Source organism: Homo sapiens, chromosome 8 (assembly GCF_000001405.40).
Source record: "Homo sapiens chromosome 8, GRCh38.p14 Primary Assembly".
NCBI lineage: Eukaryota > Metazoa > Chordata > Mammalia > Primates > Hominidae > Homo > Homo sapiens.
Genome location: NC_000008.11, coordinates 97,622,085 through 97,644,015, shown reverse-complemented (window position 1 = coordinate 97,644,015; position 21,931 = coordinate 97,622,085). Strand labels below are relative to the sequence as shown.

The 21,931-nt window shown below is 42.9% G+C and overlaps 1 pseudogene, besides 5 other annotated features; it reads left to right on the top strand.

Annotated features, from left to right (window-relative positions):
• Nucleotides 135-244: a silencer, noted in NCBI's record as "silent region_19390". NCBI's record gives its function as "represses an Ori minimal core promoter by ATAC-STARR-seq in GM12878 lymphoblastoid cells {active_cell/tissue: GM12878}" and the evidence as "EXISTENCE:reporter gene assay evidence [ECO:0000049][PMID:35858748]".
• Nucleotides 3,853-4,152: an enhancer, noted in NCBI's record as "active region_27669". NCBI's record gives its function as "activates an Ori minimal core promoter by ATAC-STARR-seq in GM12878 lymphoblastoid cells {active_cell/tissue: GM12878}" and the evidence as "EXISTENCE:reporter gene assay evidence [ECO:0000049][PMID:35858748]".
• Nucleotides 12,605-12,664: an enhancer, noted in NCBI's record as "active region_27668". NCBI's record gives its function as "activates an Ori minimal core promoter by ATAC-STARR-seq in GM12878 lymphoblastoid cells {active_cell/tissue: GM12878}" and the evidence as "EXISTENCE:reporter gene assay evidence [ECO:0000049][PMID:35858748]".
• Nucleotides 12,715-13,024: an enhancer, noted in NCBI's record as "active region_27667". NCBI's record gives its function as "activates an Ori minimal core promoter by ATAC-STARR-seq in GM12878 lymphoblastoid cells {active_cell/tissue: GM12878}" and the evidence as "EXISTENCE:reporter gene assay evidence [ECO:0000049][PMID:35858748]".
• Nucleotides 15,660-15,869: an enhancer, noted in NCBI's record as "active region_27666". NCBI's record gives its function as "activates an Ori minimal core promoter by ATAC-STARR-seq in GM12878 lymphoblastoid cells {active_cell/tissue: GM12878}" and the evidence as "EXISTENCE:reporter gene assay evidence [ECO:0000049][PMID:35858748]".
• Nucleotides 18,914-19,852, top strand: RPS2P33 (ribosomal protein S2 pseudogene 33; annotated as a pseudogene).

Sequence of the window (21,931 nt, the reverse complement as noted above, 5' to 3'; positions counted from 1 at the left end):
GTTACTGTAGACCAGAAGCTGGGAGGGGTTAATTGGTGGACGCCTTCGCGGGGTGGCTGGTGGCGCAGAGTTAGGAGACGTGGCGCAACGAATGAGTACAGAGGAGGGGCTCCGTGCAAGGCGGGGGCGGGCGGGGGGCGGGTAGGGCTGCAGCGCTAGGAACCGGGTCACCGGGTCTAGGTCAAAGTCGCCCTGGCAGGTATAGGGCTCTTCATGCCTTTTTCTGGAGTGTTATTGAGGTGGAATCGCTTTTTCTCCCTGGTGGCGCCAGTTGGATCCTTCCAGAATGAGCTCAACGGAGTCTGACGCCGAACACTGTTCTTCCGGGACCTAGGTTTAGTTCACAAATTGGGTATTTCTCTCCAGGGTGTTTCTCTCCAGGGCAACTAATACACTGCGTGCCTACCAGTTGCCAGCCTGGCGAGGGCACGTTTGCGTCGTTTGGCTCATTCACTCTTGCTCTCTGTTGTTAGTCCCCAGAATTCAAAAGTTGGAAAGCCCGTGGGCGGCACTATTCTTTTCCTACTAATTTGTAGCTTTAATAACACATAAGGGGAAGCACATTAGATTGTATTTACTTATGGAGGGAGCTTTCTCGTTACGTTTTATTTTAAGCTTTTCTACAACACTGCAAAAGGGGTTTGCAAAAATTCCATTTTTATATGCTATGTTGACCATCTCTGGGATGCAGCTATAGAAGGAAACGAACTGCCTTTTCAAATTTTTTTTTTTTGAGACAAGAGTCTCGCTCTGTCGCCCGGGCTGGAGTGCAGTGGCACTATCTCCGCTCACTGCAAGGTCCGCCTCCTGGGTTCAAGCCATTCTCCTGCCTCAGCCTCCCGAGCAGCTGGGACTATAGGCACCCACCACCACGCCCGGCTAATTTTTTGTATTTTTAGTAGAGACGGGGTTTCACCGTGTTAGCCAGGATGGTCTTGATCTCCTGACCTCGTGATCCGCCCACCTCAGCCTCCCAAAGTGCTGGGATTACAGGCGTGAGCCACCACGCCAGGCCTTCAGGTTTTAATTATAAGGGAAATGCTTGAAGGCTGCCTTAGGGTTTTAAGATTATATTTTGCTATAAGGAAACTCTGTATTTTATCGGTAAATGATCATTAGCGTGTAAGCAACTGTCTTAAGTGAACTAAATACAGGCTTTCTCAAGGAATACAGCAGGGGTAATATTAATAACCACCAAATACCAAAAATGTATTTTGACCTATTTTGCAACAGTGTCGTAATGCATATTGTGATTCATGTGTGGAAGGGAGTTTTGTAAATAATAAATAATAAAAGCATACTACACTTGCCAAGACTTATGATTAAAGACTAAATTAAATTAGGAGGCCAAAAACTTAGCAAATGTTATTGGGATCTGCTTTAACTCAAAGTTTCCAAATTCCATTTATATTTGTGAAATAAGATTTCTGCACGTGTTTTGGTTCTAGAGATGTGAAGGGTCATGATTTTCCTAAGAAGTTCCACTGACTATTCTGACCATTCTAGATAAACATCTGTGAATTTTTTATTTTTTATTTTTTGAGATGGAGTCTCGCTGTGTTGCCGAGGCTGCAGTCGCCCTGACTTCGTGATCCGCGCGCATGGGCCTCCCAAAGTGCTGGGATTACAGGCGTGAGCCACCGCTCCCGGCCCACCTGTGAATTTTCAAATTAAACTATTACAATAATGGCTGGTGCTGTGGCTCACGCCTGTAATCCCAGCTACTCAGGTGGCTGAGGCATGAAAATAACTTGAACCCAGAAGGTGGAGGCTGCAGTGAGCTGAGATCGTGCTACTGCACTCCAGCCTGGGTGACAGAAGGAGATTCTGTCTCAAAACAAAACAAAAAAACCTTTAAATTGAAGTGGTGCCATATGTAAAGAAGTTAAAATCAAGTCTGGCCTAAAGTGGGAATTCTAATTTCTTGTAAATGACAAAGTTAAGCTGTTGTGTATGAAACCGTTTACCTGCAGCTCTGCACCGGGTTGGAAATAAGGACTGCTTTTTCTGGGAGTGACCCATACAGTGGAATACGACCCAGAAATAAAAAGGAATGAACTATGAATACATGTAACAACATGGATTATGCTGAGTGAAAGAAGCCAGATAAAAAAGAGTACATGGTGTATGATTCCATTTACATAAAACTTGAAAATGCAAACTAATCTATAGTGACAAAGCAAATCAGTGATTCCTTGGGGATGGGGGTGGAGGGTGGTGGGAGGAAGGAGAAATGGGAGAGAGGGAGGGATTACTAAAGGGTACCAGGAAACCCATGGGTGTGATGGATATGTGCATTATTTTGATTGTGGTAATGGTTTTATGGGCATATATTTCAAAATTTATCAAATTATATAAAGTATTGTTTAATTCGTGTCTGTCATACTTGAATAAAGCAGTTCAAAAAAAGATTTTAAAAAGTCATGTATAGTTAGAGTGAAGATCTAGCATCTGATAGCACAACAGTGTCTATAGTCAACAATTTATTGTACATTTAAAAATAAAAATATAATTGGGTTGTAACACAAAGGATAAATGCTGAAGCGATGGATACTCCATTTACCTTTATGTGTCTATTATGAATTGTATGCCTGTATCAAAATGTCTCATGTACCCTATAATATATACTTCTACTATGTACCCCAAAAAATTTAAAAATAAAATGACTCATAGGACTCAGATCCTACAAGAGTGAGATGTTCCATTTTCAATGATGAGATTTCAAAGTTTTTGCCAAACTATGATTTTAAAGAACAAGGTTTCTCAACACTATATCCTTGATGTTCATTAACAAAAACTTTTTTTTTTTTTTGAAATGGAGTTTCACTGTTTTTGCCTAGGCTGGAGCGCAATGGCATGATCTTGGCTCACTGCAACCTCTGCCTCCCAGGTTTGAGCGATTCTCCTGCCTCAGCCTCCCGAGTAACTGGGATTACAGGTGCCCACCACCACGCCCGGCTAATTTTTTGTATTTTTAGTAGAGACGGGATTTCACCATGGCCAGGCTGGTCTTGAACTTCTGACCTCAGGTGATCCGCCTGCCTGGGCCTCCCAGAGTGCTGGGATTACAGGCGTGAGCCACAGCGCCTGGCCACAAAAACATTTTTTAATGAGTTTGCACAATATTCACTTAAAGTATCACTTATAATGGCGAGATATTGTCTGTCTCTGATTTAACATACTTTATTGTATAGTTAGATTATTGACAGGATTTTTTTTTGCCATTAAATGCAGTTCTGTCATGAATATGTTTGTAACTAAATCTTTGTGAATATCCATGATTACCTCCTGAGATGGAGTAGTGGTGCTGTGCTATAATTGCCTGAGCCATAGCTCACAATTTGTGAATTAAATACTTTCAGTTTGAAAATGTTCGGGGACATGAAGTGCTACTTAATGCCCTTCATTTTATAGATGAGGAAAAGTGAGCTTCAAAGGGTCAAGTGTTATGCCCTAGAGTCTGAGTGACAGAGCCCAAACAGGAACTCAGACCTCCCACTGCACTTGACACTTGATCACTCCTCTTTTTCAGTATACTGTGCAGTCAGTTATTGGGATTAGTGTGCATATTAGTTTGCTGGGGCTGCCATCACAAAATACCACATACTGGGTGATTTAAACAACAGAAGGTTTTTTTCCTCACAGTTCTGGAGCTGGTAGTCCAAGCTACGTGGCAGCCTGGTTGGGTTCTGGTGAGAGCCCTCTTCCTGGTTGCAGAAACAGCTTATGTGATGGCTGGTGAAAGAAACATGATGGCTTGGGTCTCTTCACAATGTAGATTCTTGCCATTGTAAACGACCAGGTCACAGAGTTACACACCTAGGAGAATGATTTTATGGTAAAGCAGGGAACTATAGATGAGTGTGCCAAGAATTTTAAGACACAGTCCGGAAAGGGTTATTCTCAGAATAAAGGAAGAATTAGTAAATAACTAAGCTGCCTGCAGAAGTATGCTCAGAATCCTAAGCTAGTTTGTAAATGTGTTGCTGCAAGGGCCAAGATGTTTCCTTTAGGAGATCAGAAGATAAGCTAAGAATCTGTATGGAACTAAAAATTAGATTTTATCAATTGTACCTCAAGGGAACATCAGGGTGGGGGCTGGGGGAAGCATGGAGGCTGTGAAAGTGATAACAAAAGTGAAAGTTATGGTATACTCATTCAGTAGAATGCATATGTGGTAAGAATATAAAACCGTGCATGGGAATAATGAACACCAAATTTGAGATAGTGATTATTTCTAGGAAGAGTGGGAGAGAAATGGGATAAGTGAAAACTATACAAGGGAGCTACAAATATATAATGTTTTATCTCTTAAACTAGGTTAAGAGTTATGAATACACGGGTACTCCTTATCTCTACTTTTTGTATGCCTAAAATACTTTGTAATTAAATTTAAGTGACAAAAATTAAATGACAGCTGAGTGTGGTGGCTCAAGCCTGTAATCCCAGCACTTTGGGAGGCTGAGGCAGGCAGATTGCTTGAGCAGAGGAGTTCAAGACCAGCCTGGGCAACATGGCAAAACCCCGTCTCTATAAGAAGTAGAAAAATTAGCTGGGCATGGTGGTACACTCCTGTTGTCCCAGCTACTTGGGAGGCTGAGGTGGGAGGATCACCTGAGCCCAGAGAAGTCGAGGGTACAGTGAGCCAAGATCTTGCCACTGCACTCCAGCCTGGGCGACAGAGTGAGACCTTGTCTGGGAGAAAAAAAAAAAGGATATTTGCACTCTGTTTTGCATTGTTTTCTCTTTTTCTTTTCTTTTTTTTTTTTTTTTTTTTTGAGATGGAGTCTCCCTCTGTTGCCCAGGCTGGAGTGCAATGGCACAATCTCAGCTCACTGCAACCTCCGCCTCCGGGTTCAAGCAATTCTCCTGCTTCAGCCTCCTGAGTAGCTGGGATTACAGGCATGAGCTACCACCCCTGGCTAATTTTTGTATTTTCAGTGGAAACGGGGTTTCACCATGTTGACCAGGCTGGTCTCGAACTCCTGGCCTCAAGAGATCCACCTGCCTCGGCCTCCCAAAGTGCTGGGATTACAGGTGTGAGCCCCCTGCCGGGTTTACTCTGTTTTTTTCAAGTAAGGTCCTGTGTTTTTGGTTAATCAGTCGCCTTGGGTCATTTATTCAGTAATTCCTTTACCAGATTTCTATTAAATCCCAACTCTTTAAGGAAGCAAATGTCTCAAAAACTAGTTAGGCTTCTTTGGGAAGTTGAGGCAGGAGGAATGCTTGAGTCCAGGAGTTCAAGGTCGTAGTATGCTATGATCGCACTTATGAATAGCCACTGTGAATAGCCCAGGCAACACAGTGAGATCTAGTCTCAAAAAAAAAAAAGAAAAAGGAAAAGAAAACCAAACCACAAACCACACACACACACACACGTACAAAACAAAAACACACACACACCAAAAAAATACCTAGTGAGGGCAATGGAGCCTTCCTTAACACAAGGGAATGTGGTTCTAGTAAACTGATTTGAGCCTAGGGATCATAGTGGATGCTGCAGTGCATCTCCTGGATCCCTCTTCAGGAATGAAAGACTTATTCTCTAACTCTGGGAAACATCCAGAAGACATCCCTAAGCTGTCATACTTTGGGGGAGATTACTGAGGAAAACTTCTTCAGCCAAAGTCATGCCTCCTTCCAGGGATAACTCGCATCCAATGGACTGATCATCCTGGGGAGGAGGATTTAAAGTCCTGGCCTTCTTAACTCAATTTGGAAAGATCCCAAGGACCATCCCAGCCCAGAGCACTGCTTGGCTTAGGACTTTTGGTACATCTCAACCCAGCTCTCCCTCTGCCCAATCCTAGTTCCTTCTCCTTCCACTGGCATTGGTTCCAGGAGCACTTCCTAATGTTGTCCTGCTTGCCGATCTGCCTGAAAGTCTGCTTCCCAGACAACCAACCTGTAACAGGGGTGATGAGGTATTTGAAAAGTGTATTATATCACTGAGGAGAGAGGTTATTATTTACGCATGGATGTAGTAGAATGCCAAGTGCAATATGTTTGGGTTACGTCTTGAAGGATGAATTAGGATATTGCTAAGAAGAGAAGGAGGTGAGGATGGAGAGGAATTTCCAAGCATAGGACCAGCAAAAGCAAAGGCTTGGGGAACAGGAGAGAACGTGGTATGTCTGGATTATGAGAGACCTATTGTGTAACTAGTAATAAAGTGCATAGTATTTGGTGAGGGAGTGAAGAAGAGGGAACTGTCAAGAATAACTCCTAGGTTTCTCACTTCCAGTTTTACAGATGGTGGTGTCTTTCACTGAAGTAGGGAATGTTGGGAAAGAACTAAGTTTTACAAGCCAAGATTGGTTTTCTACACATTGATTTTGAGAAGTACAAATAAGCAGATGGATGTATGTGTGTAGACCCCAAAGTGGTGATCAGAGTTGGGGGTACTGCCTCTTGCAGTACCTACATGATCTTCTGAATGCATGGAATTTATTTCCTTGCTTTTTCTAGTTTGTTCTTGCTCATTTTTTATATCTCAAATGAAATGTCATTTTCTCCCAGAAGCTGTGCCCAACCACTAGATCAGGTCATTTCCTCATCCTATGGATTTTCATAGTATCATAAACTTTCATAGTATTTGTCAAAATCATAATTTCACATTTATTCACGTAACTATTTTCTCTCTCCTTCTGACTAGAATTTTCATGAGGACAGGAACTGTGTCTGTTTTTGCTCACCTTTGTACCATATCCTATACTTAGCATAATGCCTAGCACCTGGTAGGTGCTCAGAATATATTTGAAAGAATAGTTTATATTAATGTTAATGTGAATAAAAAAGACTAATAGCTATTTACACATGGCGTAAAGCTGTTTCTCTAATTTAATGCATCAATTAGTTTTTTTTTTTTTTTTTTTGAGATGGAGTTTAGCTCTTGTTGCCCAGGCTGGAGTGCAATGGCGTGATCTTGGCTCACTGCAACCTCCATCTCCCGGGTTCAAGCTATTCTCCTGCCTCAGCCTCCCGAGTAGCTGGGATTACAGGCATGTGCCACCACGCACAGCTAATTTTGTATTTTTAGTAGAGACGGGGTTTCACCATGTTGGTCAGGCTGGTCGTGAACTGCCGACCTCAGGTGATCCTCCAGCCTCAACCTCCCAAAATGCTGGGATTACAGGCCTGAGCCACCGTACCCGGCCATCAGTTAGTATCTTGTGGCAGAAAGACTCTCGGATTTCTGCCAGTTACCCCTACCTTCTAGTATTTATATCCTTGTGTAATCCTGTCCCCATGCATAGGTGAGGAACCTGTGGCTTGCTGTAACCAATAAAATATGGCAAAAGGAGATGGGATGTCACTTCCATCATGATGTTACATAAAATTGGTGCTCCTATCTTGCTAGTAGACTATTTTTCTCTTTCCCTTGCTGGCTTTGGCAAAGTAAATATCCATCAGAAGAGGCCCATGTAGCAAGAACTGAGGGTGACCTCCTACCAGCAGCCAGCAAGGAAGAAAGACCCTCAGCCTAGTGACCCAGAAAGAACTGAATCCCGCTGGCAACCTCATGCATTTGGAAACAGATCACTACCTGGTTGGTCATCAGATGACTCCCCAGTCCTGGCTAACACTTTCTGAGAGACCCGAAAAGAAAGGAGCAGGCACAGCTGTTCCCATATTCCTGACTCACAAAAACTATGAAATAGTAAATGTGCGTTTGTTTTAAGCTGCTAAATTTGTGGTAACATTGTTACATAGTGAGAGAGAACTGGTTTTAGTATTATGGTACCTGGGAGTGCAATGCTGCTATAAAAAATACCAAAATATGTGGAAGTAGCTTTGAAACCAGGGAATAGTAAGAAGGTGGAATAATTTTGAGGAGAATGATAAAGTCCAAATTGCTTGAACATACTGTTAATGGAAACTTTAAAGACTTTAAAGGACTTTATGGACTTTAGAAACACTCCCAAGTTCAAAAGGAAATGAGGAGCATGTTTTTAGAAACTGGAGGAAGGTATATATCTTTGTTATGTAATGGCAGAAAATGTAGTCAAATGTCTCCTGCAATTATGTGGAAAGCAGAACATGTGAGTCCTGGGTTTGCTTTTGTAGGAATGGATATTTCAAAGCAAAGTGTTGAAGGCCCCACTAGATTTCTTCTTAATATTTATAGCAAAATATGAGAGGAGAGAAATAAATGGAGAGAACTATGAAACAAAAGGAGTTAGGACTTGATGATTTTGAAAATACTCAGTCTCTTCAGAGCGGAGAATATGCTAGAACAAGAAATGGCTTCCAAGCACTGTCAAGAAAAATGGCAGAGAGGCTGGGCATGGTGACTCATGCCTGTAATCCCAGCATTTTGGGAGGCTGAGGTGGGAGGATTGCTTGAGCCCAGAAGTTTGAGACTAGCCTGGGCAACGTAGCAAGACTCCATCTCTACAAAAAATAAAAATTAGCTGGGTATGGTAGTGAGCATCTGTAATCCCAGTTACTTGGGAGGCTAAGGCAGGAGGATCTCTTGAGCCCAGGAGTTTGAGATTACTATGATGAGCTATGATTTCACCACTGCCCTCCAGCCTGGGCAACAGAGTGAGACCCTGAAAAAAAAAAAAAAAGAAAAAAAGAAAAATGAATGGCAGAGGAAATGTTGGAGGTGTGACTATGTAGCCTTTTGTTAAAATCTCAGAAAGATGAACGAATCAGTATTCAGTTACATAAAAGGCCCTTGAAAGAGACTAAGAGTGTGCCTCAAGGACCTTTTCAGTGAAACCACAGGTCTTCTAGGAAGTTTAAGGACATTGTTCTCAGCAAAATCAACAGGAGCCCAAGATAGAAAAAGATCTTACCTAGATGAGATTTTTGGATGTGGCTTTTATCCAATGGAGTGAATGCCAATGAAATTCACAGAAGGCCTACAAAGTTTTTAAGAAAATTGCATCACCAAAAACACTGCCAGTTTGGACTGAAAGGGACAGAAAGAGTAGCAAATGAAAAGAAGTCATTGAACTTCCAAAATTCTATTAGCAGGAAGCAGCATAAGAAAACCACTGAGCATCAAACTTTACACCTTTCATGAAAAAGGAAGGGAGACTCAGAAGGCAGAACCAGGAGCATAGAGGGTGGAGCCAAGATCCACAGAAAATTATTTCCATACATTGAAACCTAATCAAAGAACTTCCAATATTTGCTGAGTTGCATTTCAGAATTGCTATGGACCATGGCCTTTATACTTCACATTTCCTTCCTTTTTCTATTTTTTTAGAGACAGGGTCTCACTCTGGGTCTTACCTAGGCTGGAGTGCAATGGTGCCATCACAGCTCACTGCAGACTTGACCTCCTGAGCTCCAGTGATCCTTCTGCTGTAGCCTCCTGAGTAGCTGGGACTATAGGTGTGCACCACCAGGACTGGCTAGTTTTTTAAATTTTTTGTAGAGACGAAGTCTTGCTATGTTTCCCAGGCTGGTCTCAAACTCCTGGCCTCGAGCAGTTCTCCTTCCTTGGCTTCCCAAAGTGCAGGTAGTGTGTACTTTGTCTACAACTAAAATAAGAACACTCCCTATTGACCGGATATGGTGGTTTACACCTGTAATCCCAACACTTTGGGAGGCCAAGGAGGGCAGATCACTTGAACCCGGGAGCTCGAGACTAGCCTGGGCAACATAGGGAGACTCTGTCTTTACAAAAAATACAAAAAATTAGCCAGGTGTGGTGGTGTGCACCTGTAGTCCTAGCTACTGGGGAGGCAGAGGTGGGAGGATCACCTGAGCCCCTGGGAAATCAAGGATGCAGTGAGCTGAGATCGCACCACTGCACTCCAGCTTGGGCTATGGAGTGAGGCCCTGCCTCAAAAAAAAAAAAAAAAAAAAAAAAAAAGGCTGATACAGTGGCTCATGCCTGGAATCCTAGCATATTTGGGAGGCTGAGGCGGGAGGATCATTTAAGCCCAGGAGTCTGGGACCAGCCTAGGCAACATGGGCGAAACCCCGCCTCTACAAAAAATAAAAAAGTTAAGTTGGGTGTGGTAGTGTTGTGCACCTGTGGTCCCAGCTTACTTGGGAAGCTGAGGTGGTAGAATTGCTTTAGTCTGGGAGGTCAAGGCAGCAGTGAGCCAAGATTGTGCCACTGCACTCCAGCTGGGTGACAGAGCCAGACGCTGTCTCAAAAAAAAAAAAAAAAAAAAAAAAGGAAAAAAGAAGAGGAAGAAGGAGAAGGAGAAGAAGGGGAAGAAGAAGAAGAAAAAGCCTGCCTTTGGAGAATTTTACTTAACAGGAGCTGAGGGATGGTAATAGAGAATAGTGCTTAAGTCTGGTGTGAACAAGAGTAACAGGATGTATTAATTCAGGCTGCCATAACAGAATACCACAGACTGGGTGGTTTAAACAGCAGACATTGATTTTCTCACAGTTCTGGAAGCTGGAAGTCCAAGATCAAGATGCCTCCAGGATTAGTTTCTCCTGGCCTCTCTCCTTGGCTTGCAGATGGCGGCCTTCTTACCATGTCCTCACATGGTCTTTCCTTTGTGTGTCCTTGGAGAGAAAGAGAGACAGAGAGGTCCCTGGGGTCTCTTCCTCTTCCTGTGAGGACATCAGTGGTGTCAGATTAGGGACCCACCCTTATGAACTCATTTAAGCTTAAAGACTATCTCTAAATATAGTCACATTGAGGGGTTAGGACTTCAAAATATGAATTTGTGAGTGGGAGGATACACTGCAGTTAATAACATAGGATAAGATCCAGGACTATTCTATAGTCTCTGAGGACAAGTATGTAATAAAACTAGATTGCCAGCATCTCTTGCTAGAACATATGCTCCACTGGGGCAGGAAGGGTGTCTGACTTGTATAATATGGTACTCACAGCACTTACTGCAGTGCCTATTCATGTAAATATGTATTGAATGAATGAATTAGTGAATGTGGTATTGGAAAGTGGGTGCAAAGAAGGCTATCTCAGTGATCTGAGATGTGAAGTACCCCAAGTACCTAAATTCATTCAATGGTGGTGGGAATGAAGAGAAAGGCTGACAATGAATGGCAATAAGTAGTGACAGAAGTGGGATAAAGTGGAGGGAAGAATCTATGGGTGTGTAATGCTCTGTGACTAAGTGACCTGGTGATCACTGTCCTATTAGTGAAAATAGAGAAACTGAGAAAAGTTAGTTCATTACTACTAATCCTCACTTTGAAATGAGATTACTGTCATTAATTTAGGACTTACTCATGATTTGTAAAACTGAATGTTCTCATAGCTTCTCCCAGATGTTCCCTGAATGTTCTCTAAGATGTGATTTCTCTCCCCTCCAGCAACATTCAGGGACCCTGTATTCTCACCACTCTTACCCTACTTTGGTAGCCCAAAGAGAATTATAAGCACTAGGCTGGGCAAGGTGATTCACACTTGTAATCCCAGCACTTTGGGAGGCTGAGGTGGGCAGATGACTTGAGCTCAGGAGTTCAAGATCAGCCTGGACAACAGGGTGAAACCCTGTCTCTACAAAATAAAAAAAAAATTAGCTGGATAAGGTGGTGCATGCCTGTAGTCCCTGCTACTTGGGAGGCTGATATGGGAGGATCACTTGAGCCCATGGAGATCGAGGCTGCAGTGAGCTGTGATGGCGCCACTGCACTCCAGCCTGATAGAGCAATCGAGTAAAATCCTGTCTCAAAGCAACAACAACAAAGAAAATTATAAGGGCTAGAAATACACATTTCTTTTTTTATTTTTCTTTCTTCTTCTTCTTCTTTTTTTTTTTGAGAGAGGGCCTCCTTCTGTCACCCAGGCTGGAGTGCAGTGGTGCAATCATGGCTCACAGCAGCCTCGACCTCCCAGGCCCAAGTGATCCTCCTATCTCAGCCGCCCAAGTAGCTGGGACCACAGGTGCATGGCACGACGCCTGACTAATTTTTTTTATTTTTGTAGAGACCAGGTCTCCCTATGTTTCCCAGGCTGGTCTCGAACTCCTTGGCTCAACCAGTCCTCCCACCTCAGCCTCCCAAAGTGTTGAGATTACAGGTATTACAAAGTGGTGAGATTACACTGCGCCCACCTCTCCTAGTAATACTACTTCTTTTATTTGTGGTAGCTATAGTAGAAATAGAAATATGGTCATTGGCTGGGCGTGGTGGCTCACGCCTGTAATCCCAGCACTTGGGAGGCCAAGGCGGTCAGATCACTTGAGGTCAGGAGTTTGAGACCTGCCTGACCAACATAGCGAAACCCTGTCTCTACTAAAAATACAAAAGTTTAGCTGGACGTGGTAGTGGGCACCTGTTGTCCCAGCTACTCGGGAGGCTGAGGCAGGAGAATTGTTTGAACACAGAAGGTGAAGTTGCAGTGAGCCAAGACTGCACCATTGCACTCCAACCTGGGCTACAGAGCAAGACTCTGTCTAAAAAAAAAAAGAAAAAAAAAGAAAAAGAAAAAGAAATTATGCTCATGTTGGGCATCACAATGACATGAAACTTGTAGGTACTAGTGCTCTTTATTTCAAGATTATTTCTCTTGTCTTCACTTCTTCCTTGTATTTATAATCCTGAGAGAATGACTCAAAACTAACTTTCTCAGTTCTCTAGCTGAGTTATTTATGAATGGAAATTTGCATCTAATGGCAGTCTACTTTCTGAAAGAGCTCATAATTACAATAATTTCAGTTTTCTTGAACTTTTTGAATATAACTCTTATGAACATTTCTTTTGAACATATCTCTATGAACAGACTATTCTTAGCTAACTTTAAAACTGAAACTGAAGGCCAGGTGTGGTGTCTCACGCCTGTAATCCCAGCACTTTGGGAGGCCGAGGCGGGTAGATCACTTGAGGTCAGGGGTTCAAGACCAGCCTGGGCAACATGGTGAAACCTCCTCTATACTAAAAATACAAAAAATAACCAGGAATGGTGGCATGCACCTGTAGCCCTAGCTACTAAGGAAGCTGAGGCAGGAGAATTGCTTGAACCTGGGAGGTGGTGGTTGCAGTGAGCTGAGGTCGCAGCCACTGCACTCCAGCCTGGGTGACAGAGTGAGACTCTGTCTCAAAAAAACAAAAACAAAAACAAAAAACAAACAAAAAACAAAGCCTGAAACTCAAAAGATTGTTAAATATAGATTTAGAGTAGCTGGATAACATCTGCTAATAGGAGTTAGCCCCAAGAAATTACTTATTATGAATGATTGGAATGCTTTCTTCTAGCCTTTGCCCTAGCTGCTCCAAAAGGGCAAAAACCAAATTCAGTGTTTAGACACACTCCCCTTCCAGACTGTGTTAATGTTCTTTATGAGTAGGCAGCATTTAAATGCTGCCTACTCACAAATCCTTGAGAAAAGGATTTGCTCACTGGGTTAGAACTTTTATAATTAGCTGATATAATGACCATTTTGAACTACTGCATCATGTTAATGCCCATCAATTTTAGTAAAGTTACTATCTTTGTATAAAAATGTGTATAATTCTTTGAATGTTTTATTGCTCCTTGCCTTAAATACTCTGTAACAATTAGTGAAAATGAAATAGCAATTAGTAACAAAAACATGAATTCTAAATGTGACATTGAAATTGCAAGACATTTCAATTAGGATGATAAAGTTTTAGCTGTTTTAACAAAGACAACAAAAATTTAAACAGGATAGAATGTTATTTCTCTAATATGTCACTCAGGGGTAGAGTTTTAAAAATAATAAAAAAGAATTTTATTTCTCATTTAATAGTCTGATTCCTTTCTCAAATAATGCTGATATGTTGGCTCTTCCATGCTGCCGTTCAAGTGTCCCTAAAATATTAGCCTCATCTGTTTGGTCCTAGATGGTTTGTTGCCATGTCCAAGTTCCAGGCAGCAAGATGGGAGAAGGCAAAGTAGAATAAAAAGACATGTTATCCATTTAAGGGGCATAACCCAGAAGTTGCATGTCAGTTCTGCTCTCCTCTTCCCCCTCCTCCTCCTCCTCCTCCTTCTCCTCCTCCTCCTCCTTCTTCTTTCTCTTCTTCTTCTTCTTTCTTCTTTTTGAGACAGGGTCTCACTCTGTCACATAGACTGGAGTGCAATGGTACAATCATAACTCACCGCAACCTCGAATTCCTGGGCTCAAAGGATCCTTTTGCCTCAGCCTCCCAGGTAGCTGGGACTACAGGTACTCGCCAGTGGGCCCAGCTAATTAATTTTTTTTTTTTTTTTTTTTGTTGAGACGAGGTCTTGCTTTGTTGCCCAGGCTGGTTCTTGAACCCCTGGCCTCAAGCAGTCCTCCTGCCTCGACCTCCCAAAGTGTTGGGATTACAGGTGTGAGCCACCACACCCAGCCAGGTTCTGTTTATTTATTTTATTTTATTTATTTTTATTTTTGAGACAGGGTCTTACTCTGTCACCCAGGCTGGAGTGCAGTGGCATGATCATGGCTCACTGCAGCCTCAACCTCGTGGGCTCAAGGCATCTTCCCACCTCAGCCTCTTGAGTAGCTGGGACTACAGGTGCACACCACCATGCCTGGCTATGAACTCTATTTCTTAAGGGAATATGTGAAGTATGAATTTGGCATGCCAAAAGTTATGACTCTTTAGTCTCAAATTACTGCTTGTTGGACTAAGCTGCTTGACTGCATGTTCAATTGTGAAGAAGAAAACAAAAGCAACCTTATGCATCATCAGCAAATGCTGAAAATATATTGTCAAAAACTAAGTGTAAATGAAGTATAATAACTGTTTTATTTATTTTATGGATCTTGACTTTCGAAGATTTGGCCTTTGAATTCACTTAAGATTCACATAACTTTATATGAAAGTAATGAACAACCTATCTGTATGGAAATTTCTGGCTTATTTGTTGTTCTGAAATTTTATGGTTGAATCAGCATTTCTGAGAAAGCTAGAGGCTTTGAGTGGCCAGCTTTTAAGTTAAGTGTAGAATGTAGTGGATTTCAATACTTTCTAAATAGGGTATCTCTGTTGAGCCTTAGAAAGTACTTTGAGCACAGGCAAGTCATTGCTGTCAGGCAATGCCAATGCTCACCTTAGTCAGAGCTGCTCTGGAGGGAAGCAGCATTCTCCAATCTCCTGGCCAATGCTCAGTTGTAGCATTGTCACCCCTGACTGGGAAGGGGAAGAAGAGTGCAGACTGTGAGCAAGTGAAGGGCTAAGAAGCGTGGAGTCCCAGCCTGGGTCCAAGTGGCCCAGAGAAAAGGATGATCAGAAATGTCAGGGGTCCTAGCACAGCAAGGAAATGATGTCACATGATACTTCTCTGCTCTGGTCCATTTGGGAGCAGCAGAACCTCAGCAGGTGGTAAGGGAGTGCCTGCGGGTGGCCATCTCCTGCAATACTAGAGCCACTGTGGCTTCGGATGTTTGATGACAGACCAGGACTAAGTAGCCATATGTTTGGGGCTTCTTTGAGGAGTACTCCAAATTTCACCCAGACATATTCTATTTCTTTATATTTGTTTTTTTTTTTTTTTTGAGACAGGGTCTCACTTTGTCACCCAGGCTCGAGTGCAGTGGCGCTGTCACAGATCACTGCAGCCTCAACCTCCTAGGCTTAAGCAATCCTCCCACCTCAGCCTCCTGATAGCTGGGACCACAGATGCATGCCACCATACCTGGCTAATTTTTTAATTTTGTAGAGACAAGGTCTCACCATGTTGCCCAGAATGGTCTCAAGGGATCCTCCCACCATGGCTTCTCAAAGTGCTGGGGTTGCAGATGTGAGCCACCATGCTCTGCTCGTGTTTATTGTAGTAGTCTACTATAGCCCTCAGTTACCTCTAACAAGTAAGGGATGCCATGGCTTTCTTCTGGCTCCTGTAGCAATAATTTTTTTTTTAACCACTGAAGGCATTTCTTTAGGTTAAGCAATAAAGATGAAGTCACCATCTCTGAAAGTTTCAGTCTTACTCATATATATTTCCAGAGAGGGGAAGGGAGTGGGATGTTGTATCTCTAGTCTCCTTTATCTCTCTCTCTTTTTATTTTTTAGATGAAGTTTCGCTCTTGTCGCCCAGGCTAGAGTGCAAATGGTGCAATCTCAGCTCACTGCAACCTCCGCCTCCTGGGTTCAAGTGATTCTCCTGCCCCAGCCTCCTGAGTAGCTGGGATTACAGCTAATTTTTATATTTTTAGTAGAGACAGGTTTCTCCATGTTGGCCAGGCTGGCCTTGAACTCCTGACCTCAGGTGATCCACCTGAGGTCCCAAAGTGTTGGGATTACAGGGGTAAGCCACCGCGCCTGGCCTTAGTTTCCTTTATCTCTTAACCATTTAAAGCTGACCTGTTTATCTGATTAACTGGTTGTCACATTAGGAGTAAGAAAAATTTGAATTAATGGCATCTATATTTCAGGCTGGAATAGTGAGACAAGAATATCAACAACAATACAATCTGAACGACCAGGGGCCATTTTTAGGGTGTGAGCTGAGGAGGGCAGGGTTTGGGTGTTGAGTTGCAAGAAGGAGAGTGCCTGGTGGCGGTGCACCAAAGAAGCTGGAGTGGCACAGGAGCTTTATGTAGTGAAATGTATTCCCCAAGGCTGCTCCTTCTCTAACGCCTTTTAGGCTAAGAACGTTTGGGTTGGAAGCAATGTACATTATTAGGATGGTGCAAGTCACTGTGGTCTAAGATATTAAATATTTTTTTCCTCTAAGGATTCATTACTTTTTTTGAGCTAATCACAACATTACATTTTTAGTACTGTGACCTTTAAATGCATATCTTATGATGAATTATAAATTTGCATTAAAACTTTTATACCAGTGGGTATGGACAAAGGTAAGACTTTCATTACCTTAGTGTATCTTCTTGTTTTTTATTTATTTATTTTTTTTAGACAGAGTCTTACTCTGTCCCCCAGGCTGTAGTGCAGTGGCGCAATCTCGGCTCACTCACTGCAAGCTCCACCTCCTGGGTTCATGCCATTCTCCTGCCTCAGCCTCCGGAGTAGCTGGGAGTACAGGCGCCCACCACCACGCCCAGCTAATTTTTTTGTATTTTTAGTAGAGACGGCATTTCACTGTGTTACCCAGGATGGTCTCGATCTGCTGACCTTGTGATCCGCCCATCTCCACCTCCCAAAGTGCTGGCATTACAGGCGTGAGCCACTGCGCCCGGCTACTTAGTGTATCTTTTTATATATATATATTTCTTTTTCTTCTTTTTAGTAGCTAAGCCTTCACAAGCTTAGTGTAACTCTGTGAGAGTCCTGTATCTTTTGAACAGTTTGGATATTTAATGATATGTCTCCTTATCTACTTTAACATGTTTTAAAAAACCCCAATAACATTTCTTTATTTCTTTTTATAAAAAATTATTTATTTATTTATTTATTTATTTATTTATTTATTTATTTATTTATTTTTGAGGCAGGGTGCTTGCTCTGTTGCCCAGGCTGGGAGGGCATTGGCATGATCTCTGCTCACTGCAACCTCTGCCTCCTGGGCTTAGGCATGTTTCTGCCGGGGTGCCACCACGCTTGGCTAAGTTTTGTTTTTAAGGTTTTTTTTTTTTTTTTTAATAGAGACAAGGTCTCGCTATATTATCCAGGCTGGTCTTGAACTCCCGGGCACAAGCAGTCCTCCCGGACTCAAGCAGTCCTCCCACCTCAGCCTCCCAAACTGCTGGGATTACAGGCAATGAGCCACTGCACCTGGCTATTTATTTATTTATTTGAGACTGAGTCTCGCTCTGTTGTCCAGGCTAGAGTGCAGTGGCACGATCTCGTCTCACTGCAACCTCTGTCTCCCAGGTTTAAACGATTCTCTTGCCTCAGCCTCCTGAGTAGCTGGGACTACAGGCACACGCTACCATGCCTGGCTACTTTTTGTATTTTTAGTAGAGATGGAGTTTCACCATGTTGGCCAGGCTGGTCTCAAACTCCTGACCTCAAGTGATCCGCCTGCCTTGGCCTCCCAAAGTGCTGAGATTACAGGCGTGAGCCACTGTGCCCGGCCTATTTCTTTATTTTTAAAATTTTACACTTCTTTATATAAATATTTTTGTAATCCTTCATGGGATTGAAGATAGTTCCTTTAATAATGTAAGTGAAGCTGTCAATTAGTGGAAAGTACACCGGACCTAGATTCAGAGGTCTCAGGTTGTTGTCACAGGTCCTGTTGAAATGATTTTGTTGTGTTTTTAATAAATTGGATACCTAGTTAATAATTTACAGTGAGAAATGCCCCTTCACAAGGATCAGAATGTTCATGCCCATTGATCAAGAATCTAATTCCAGTGTCAGGGTATTGAGGAGTAGGTATAATATATCTGATGCAATTTCTCATGATCTTAATTCTTCTTTTGTGATGTGAGAGGCTTGGATAAGATAACCTTTAAATTTCCTTTAATTCAAAAAATTTCTTTTCCATGGCCTGCGTCACGGAGAGGGGAAGCAGCATGCAAAACCTAGAAAATAGGTGGGTTCCATGCCAGGCACTGTGGCAAGCATTTAGTGTGCATTATTTCATTTAATCCTCACAACTGATGAGGTAGGTATTATTATCATCCCCTTTTTAATATTAGGTTGGTGCAAAAGTAATTGTGTTTTGCCATTAAAAGTAACTAAGCATTAGGTAACTTGCTCAGGTATCCCACAACTAGTGAGTGGCAGAGTTGGGATCTCCAATACAGGTCTGTCAGGGTCTGGAGTTTGGGGGCTGAGGTCTATGCTGGCTCTTTAACTAACATACAGTAGCAGTTCTGAGGAACGTTTATTTCAGAGCAATAAGCGGGATGGAGATTTTTTGCTTTTAAAAAAGTTACGTATTGGTAATAGTTCTCTAGGTATTTTACATCCTTACTTTATATAAGTATATAAAGTTTGACAATATAAAAAGCAAAGAAATCTCTGAATGCAAGTGGCAAAATAAAGTCAGATTAAATCTTCTGCCTCTAAACCGAATGAAAAAATCTAATGAAAAATCTTGTGGTACAGAAGGGAATGGAGCAATATCCACTAACTTCTGAGGACAAAAATGTGTAGCCCACTTCTTCTCCGAGAAAACACCGAATGGTAGATGGCGCTGGGACAGCCGAGAGAGGAAGGGGCCCTGGGATGGGGAACCGCGGAGTCTTCTGCGGAGGCTGCGGCAGTGGCATCCCCGGCCGGGGTTGCTGCCATGAGCGGGGGCGGAAGTGTCTGAGGCCGCAGAGCTAGTGGAGGCAAGGCCAAGGACAAAGAATGGATGCCCATCACCAAGCCGTGCCAGCCTGGTCAAAGACATGAAGATCAAGTCCCTGGAGGAGATCTATCTCTTCTCCCTGCCCATGGAGGAGTCTGAGATGATTGACTTTTTCCTGGGGGCCTCTCTCAAGCATGAGGTTTTGAAGATTATGCTGGTGCAGAAGCAGACCCGTGCTGGCCAGTGCACCAGGTTCAAGGCGTTGGTGGCCACAGGGGACTACAGTGGCCACGTCGGTCTGGGTGTTAAGTGCTCCGAGGAGGTAGCCACTGCCATCCGAGGGGCCATGATCCTGGCCAACGTCTCCACTGTCCCCGTGCGCAGAGGCTACTGGGGAAACAAGTTCGGCAAGCCCCACACGGTCCCTTGCAAGGTGACAGGCCGCTGCGGCTCTGTGCTGGTGCACCTCATCCCTGCACCCGGGGCGCTGGCATCGCCTCGACCCCAGTAGCTAAGAAGCTGCTGATGATGGCCGGTATCCATGACTGCCACACCTCAGCTGGGAGCTGCAATGCCACCCTGGGCAACTTCGCCAAGGCCACCTTTGATGCCATCTCCAAGACCTACAGCTACCTGACCCCCGACCTCTGGAAGGAGACTGTATTCACCAAGTCTCCCTATCAGGAATTCACTGACCACCTTGTCAAGACCCACGCCAGAGTCTACGTGCAGAGGACCCAGGCTCCAGCTGTGGCTACAACATAAGGTTTTTATACAAGTAAAATAAAGCGAATTAAGCCTGTTTAAAAAAAGTGTAGTCCAACAAAACTGTTCAGTTATAAAGTCAACAAGCAAGCTTTCTCAAATATGAAAAGACAGAGGGAAAGTAGTACTTAGAATCTAGTGTGTAAAAGATATAGAAGTAAGCCTTTCATGAACAAAACCATTGGACATTGAAATCCAGCCAAAGAAATGAATCAAAATCAAGAATGTAGGAGTGGTAAAAGAACTGGAAATGAGCATTAGACGCTTTTAAAAATAGAACAAAAACTAAGTAACTAGGGGTATCATAATTACAGAACATGATGTGATGGCTTATAACCTGGCAAAGTAAAATATATTATAATTAATGAGAAGAGAAATGGAGGAAAATGTAGGTAGGAGAAATTGTTAAGAGTGTAATCACTTCATCTTTCATAGCAGGGAGTCAACCCATGCTGTCTAAAATTAAACCATGTAGTTAAGAAAAAAATAAAAACATTTCCGGATCTTTGATTATTTTAATAATCTCTTTGCTTAACCTGAGAGCCAGAGAGGAGAGCCAGCATCTGTGTGCCAGATTTGCATACAGCTGTGTTTTGGTTTTGTATGACCAGATCAATGTTTTCAAATATCTTAAAATCTGAATGTCTTTAGGTGGGAGTGCACTTGCCTGTTAACTTCATTTTATACATTTGTATTTCACACATTGAAGGGCCTGCCCGGCCTTGTCTTTAGAGGACTCTTTGGCAACTAATATCTTCTATGATGAAGAATCATTTATCTGAAATTCAGTAATTCTTGGAGTAAGATGAAATAATTGACCAATAGATACATTCCTCTTATTTTTTGTGTGAAATATCTTTTTCTCTGGCTTAACAAATGGAATGTTTCTCGTGCATTATAATGACAGTAATCTGTCTCCTAGCAAAGCCAGACACTGCTGCCTCCATCCTTTTCTTAAATTGGCTGTGCCCTGGCCTTTGACTCCAGTGCACGCATGAGTGATGCACAGAGAGTGATTTTCCTGAGAGATCCCTTTCATTGGGTAGGTGCCTCCGGGGAGGCTTCTCCTTACACGTCTTACTCTATTTAAAGCCTTGGGGACTTAGCTGTTGTCACCTTCTAGCTATTTCTTTGGCTCAAATTTAACTTTCAGTCCTTTAAACAGACTAAGGATTGGGACTGAAAGGGAGCCAGAAGAAACAGCTGATTGGCTGTGCAGGTCTTGTTCGGGTGTTCTGACCCTGGCTGGAGAGGCTGAGCTGGTCATTCTGAGAGCAACTGCGAGGGCAGCCTGAGTCTGCTCTGACGCTTTAGAAGGGACAGCGGATGGACATTGGAAGGACTGGTATTCCAGCAGGAGACCAAAGATTGGGCATTGCAAAGAGAACTGCAGAACTCTCTTAAGATAGTATTTCCACATAAAGGTACTGTATTAGTTCTTTAGGGAGCTGCTGAAGACAAAATAGATACCGCCTTAAAAAAGCAAAACAAACCTTTTATTTAAATTAAATTTTGTAATAATCAAGAGAGAGATGCCTGTCACACTTAGATTTTGAATTTTTAAATGTTTCCATAATTAGAAGGCATTTCGTGGGAAGGAATAAAGGCTGGATTGTGTGATGGTGGCTGTGAGAATGGGATAGGAAGGGTAGAGATGAGCTCTGTGAAAGAAAGAACCAAAGTTTGGTTGTTGATTGGATATGAGAACAGAGAAGGATTCAAGCTTGATTACCTGAATGGCAGGTAATATTATTATTATTATTATTTTTGAGACAGAGTTTGGCTCTTGTTGCCCAGGCTGGAGTGCAATGGCGCGATCTTGGCTCACTGCAACCTCCATCTCCTGGGTTCAAGTGATTCTCCTGCCTCAGCCTCCCAAGTAGCTGGGATTACAGGCATGCACCACCACGCCTGGCTAATTTTGTATTTTTAGTAGAGACAGGATTTCACCATGTTGATCAGGCTGGTCTCCAACTCCTGACCTCAAGCAATCCACCCACCTCAGCCTCACAAAGTGCTGGGATTACAGGTGTGAGCCACTGCACCTGGCCCCAGTAATATTATTAACTATGGGTAAGCCAAGGGGCTCACACCAAGGTGTTCTCATTGGCTTGCTTC